The sequence below is a fragment of the Homo sapiens genome, chromosome 8 (genome assembly GCF_000001405.40).
Source record: "Homo sapiens chromosome 8, GRCh38.p14 Primary Assembly".
Lineage (NCBI taxonomy): Eukaryota > Metazoa > Chordata > Mammalia > Primates > Hominidae > Homo > Homo sapiens.
In genome coordinates this window covers 5,320,939-5,324,293 of record NC_000008.11, presented here as the reverse complement: position 1 = coordinate 5,324,293, position 3,355 = coordinate 5,320,939, and the positions used below count along the sequence as shown (strand labels likewise).

Here is a 3,355-nt window from a genome sequence, read left to right as displayed (position 1 = left end):
GACGTTGCTATTTGTATGTGTTGAGCATCTACTATACACTAAGTCAGTGTTGGATATTGAAGACAAGGTGGTATGTAAAAGACACGACTCCTAAAATATTACAGTGTATAGTTTGATGCAAGATAGTTGTCAACAGATTAATATCACCACTACATAGCCTAGCTTCGTAGATCAAGGACATTCAGCTAGGGGAGAAGCAGATATTATCTAACATGGTTTACCTGTGTCCCCATCCACATCTTATCTTGAACTGTAGTTCCCATAATCCCCATCTGTCATGGGAGAGACCCAGTGGGAGGTAATTGAATCATGGGGGCAGTTACCTTCATGCTATTCTTCTGATGGTGAGTGAGAATCACCATGATACCAGATCTGATGGTTTTACAAGGGGCTTTTCCCCTTTTACTAGGCACTTCTTGTTGTCACCCTGTGAAGAAGGACATGTTTCCTTCCTCTTCTGCCGTGAATGTAAGTTGCCTGAGGCCTCCCCAGCCATGCTAAACTGTGCGTCAAATAAACCTCTTTCCTTTATAAATTACCCAGTCTCAGGCAATTATTTATAGCAGTGTGAGAGCAAACTAATACACTATTGTGAACCCCAAATATCTGAGACAGGTTTCAGTTAATTTAGAAAGTTAATTTTACCAAGGTTGAAGATGTGCAACCATGACAAAGCCTCGGGAGGTCCTGACAACTTGTGCCCAAGGAGTCAGAGCACAGTTTGGTTTTATACATTATAGGGAGACATGAGACATCAATCAACATATATAAGATGAACTTTTGTTTGGTCCAGAAAGGTAGGAAAACTCAAACAAAACGCAGGACAACTCAAAGCAGGGAGGAGGCTTCCAGGTCACAGGAGATAAGAGTCAAACGGTTGCATTCTTTTGAGGTTCTGAATAGCCTCTCCAGAGTAGGCAATCAGATATGCATTTATTTCAGTGAACAGAGAGGTTACTTTGAATAGAATAGGAGGCACTTTTGTCCCAAGCAGTTCTCAACTTGACTTTTCCCTTTAGCTTAGTGATTTTGAGAACCGAAGATGATTTTGCTTTGACATTATCTATCTGCAAAGCTGTGCTGGAAAGAGAAGGGATAAAGCAGTAAGTACCCAACATCTTTTGGGAACTAAATAATAAATTTAAGAAACAACTAATTTTAGAGCTCTCAATAATTATTTAGATTTATTTTTAAGAAGTGAAATCTCTATGTGTCAATGATAAAACTCAGAAAATATGTCCTGGATATAAGAAAGTGGAAAACAACAGAAGGAGGTACACAAAGTTAGTAACACAATAATAATGATCTATCACAGGTCAAGTTCTCCCTGAAGGAGACCCTAAGCCAAGAACTTGGGTGTATGTGTTTTATTAACGATGTGTTTCCAGAAAATTCCAGTAGAGAAAAAGCATGATAAGGAAAGAGGAAGAAGACAAACCAAGCAAAAAACCCACCAATTTTTAAAAGTTTATATGTCTATGCTGATATTTCCATTTTAAGTATTTTTCTTAACTTTTCTGTAATTTGAGAAAATATTATAAAAATTATTAATTTTCAAATTGTTTTTAAGATAGTTTTAAGCTATTTTTAAAAATTTTTATTTTTACAAGGTTTATATGACCTTTTTCTACAGTGTTCAAATTAAACTGCTGTCCAAATTTAGTGATCTCTATTTTTTTTTTTTACTTTCCTTTTCTGCATTCATTTTTTTAACCCTGACTCAAGCATCCTGGATACAACTTCATGCATTTACTTCTAGATTAATCATTTTATTATCAATGAAACCAATTGCTAGGTATGGGTGGGAAAAGGAAGTTTTCTACATAGGAATTATAAATAATACAGAAACACAGTACACCTAATTTTCACATAAAATTTCATATAATCAGGTGAGTAGTGAAATTAAAGACATAAAACAAAAGGCGTTGAGGTTTCTGTGTGAAATTCATCATTAACTCCTCGTTTTACAAGCACCAAGCTCATCTTCAATGAGGCAACTTTAGTGTTAAAGTATAATTTGTTTTAGAAAGTGGGCAAAGAAGGATGTTTATTATCTTGTTCCATTTTAGTATCTCAAAAGACAATTTATTTGTTGGTAAGTAGTACCCAACAAATTAAAAACTTTTCTCAAAAGTATTAAATTAAAAAAAATCCATAATTCTTTATTTATAAATAATTTTAAAATATATTTTGATAGAAACATTGCACTCACAGGTCCTTATTCACATTTCGTTTAGTTATTCTTTGATATATTCATAAGTAAATTTCAGGAGTTGGCTAAAACTCAGAATTTTTATTTCCACATAAAAGAGGGAAGATAATTTGTCAGGAGATGGGCATAAAATTTTAGTGCAAATATTCATAATTTTATGGATCAAAACATGCTCTGTTTTCACCTTTACACTCAGCAGTAATGCGAAGGTCACCATCAAGAAAGTAAGCTCAGTCACTCTAATGATTTTGTTAGAGTAGGTAGACAAGCAGATACCAGCAGGGCACCACGGGCCCCAAAGAATGTCAGGAAACAGGTGACTATCAGGCGATTGTAAGGTAGCTGGTGACAGGGAGGGGAAATTTCCTAACAAGGAAATATCTTGAGCTTGTGGGCAACAACTTTCCGATTAGAACTTAAAATGGCAGAGTTTGACCTTCCGCTGAGGACATGCCCAGGCTTGCACAGTAAGGGGCAAAATGGTGGAGCTTGACATATATATGACCTTCCTCTGGGGGCGCTAGGCTGGTAAGGGAAAATTGCTCTTAGAGAGCATGCGCCTACCTTCCACCAACAAATAGCGCATTTGGCTCCTCCCAAATGCCGGCAATGCTGCACATGCCGCGAATGGCCAACAGCCCACCCAAGGGGAAGGACAAGAGGAAGAGACCAGGATGAAAATAGTAACTGTGTAAAGGGCCTGAGCCAAAGTTTGGGCAAGCACTCAGTTTTTGGAGTTGTCCGCTTCATTCCCTCCAAGCGTACTTTTCTTTGCTTCAGCAAATTCTTGTGTCTGCCTTAAATGTACTGTCTTTGGGCCAAATTATCTTTTCCCAAGAAGACAATGACTGAGGACTGAGGATCCCTTCCAGAGTCGCACCAATACCCACTTTTTGTAATTTGATAGATAAGGCCCAAAGCCAGTGTGAGGTTTAGTTTTGCCAAAACCCAAATGTACCAAGCAGGAGTAGGTGTTGCCATGTAGATACACGTGGGCTGTGCCCAGACATGTATGGTCTCTAAACTCTGTTCTCCTTGTGTCTAAGTGATTCACCCTTCACTCTCTTTAACAGGAAAAAAAATACCATACGTACATTTTTTTATTACCTAATATACCACATCACTTTGAGATACCTACTTCAA

General features: G+C 37.4%; 1 annotated feature.

Annotated features, from left to right (window-relative positions):
- Positions 2,593 to 2,887: an enhancer, noted in NCBI's record as "tiled region #1718; HepG2 Activating non-DNase unmatched - State 13:Ctcf, and K562 Activating non-DNase unmatched - State 13:Ctcf". NCBI's record gives its function as "activates a minimal TATA promoter and a strong SV40 promoter by Sharpr-MPRA in HepG2 and K562 cells {active_cell/tissue: HepG2 | K562}" and the evidence as "EXISTENCE:reporter gene assay evidence [ECO:0000049][PMID:27701403]".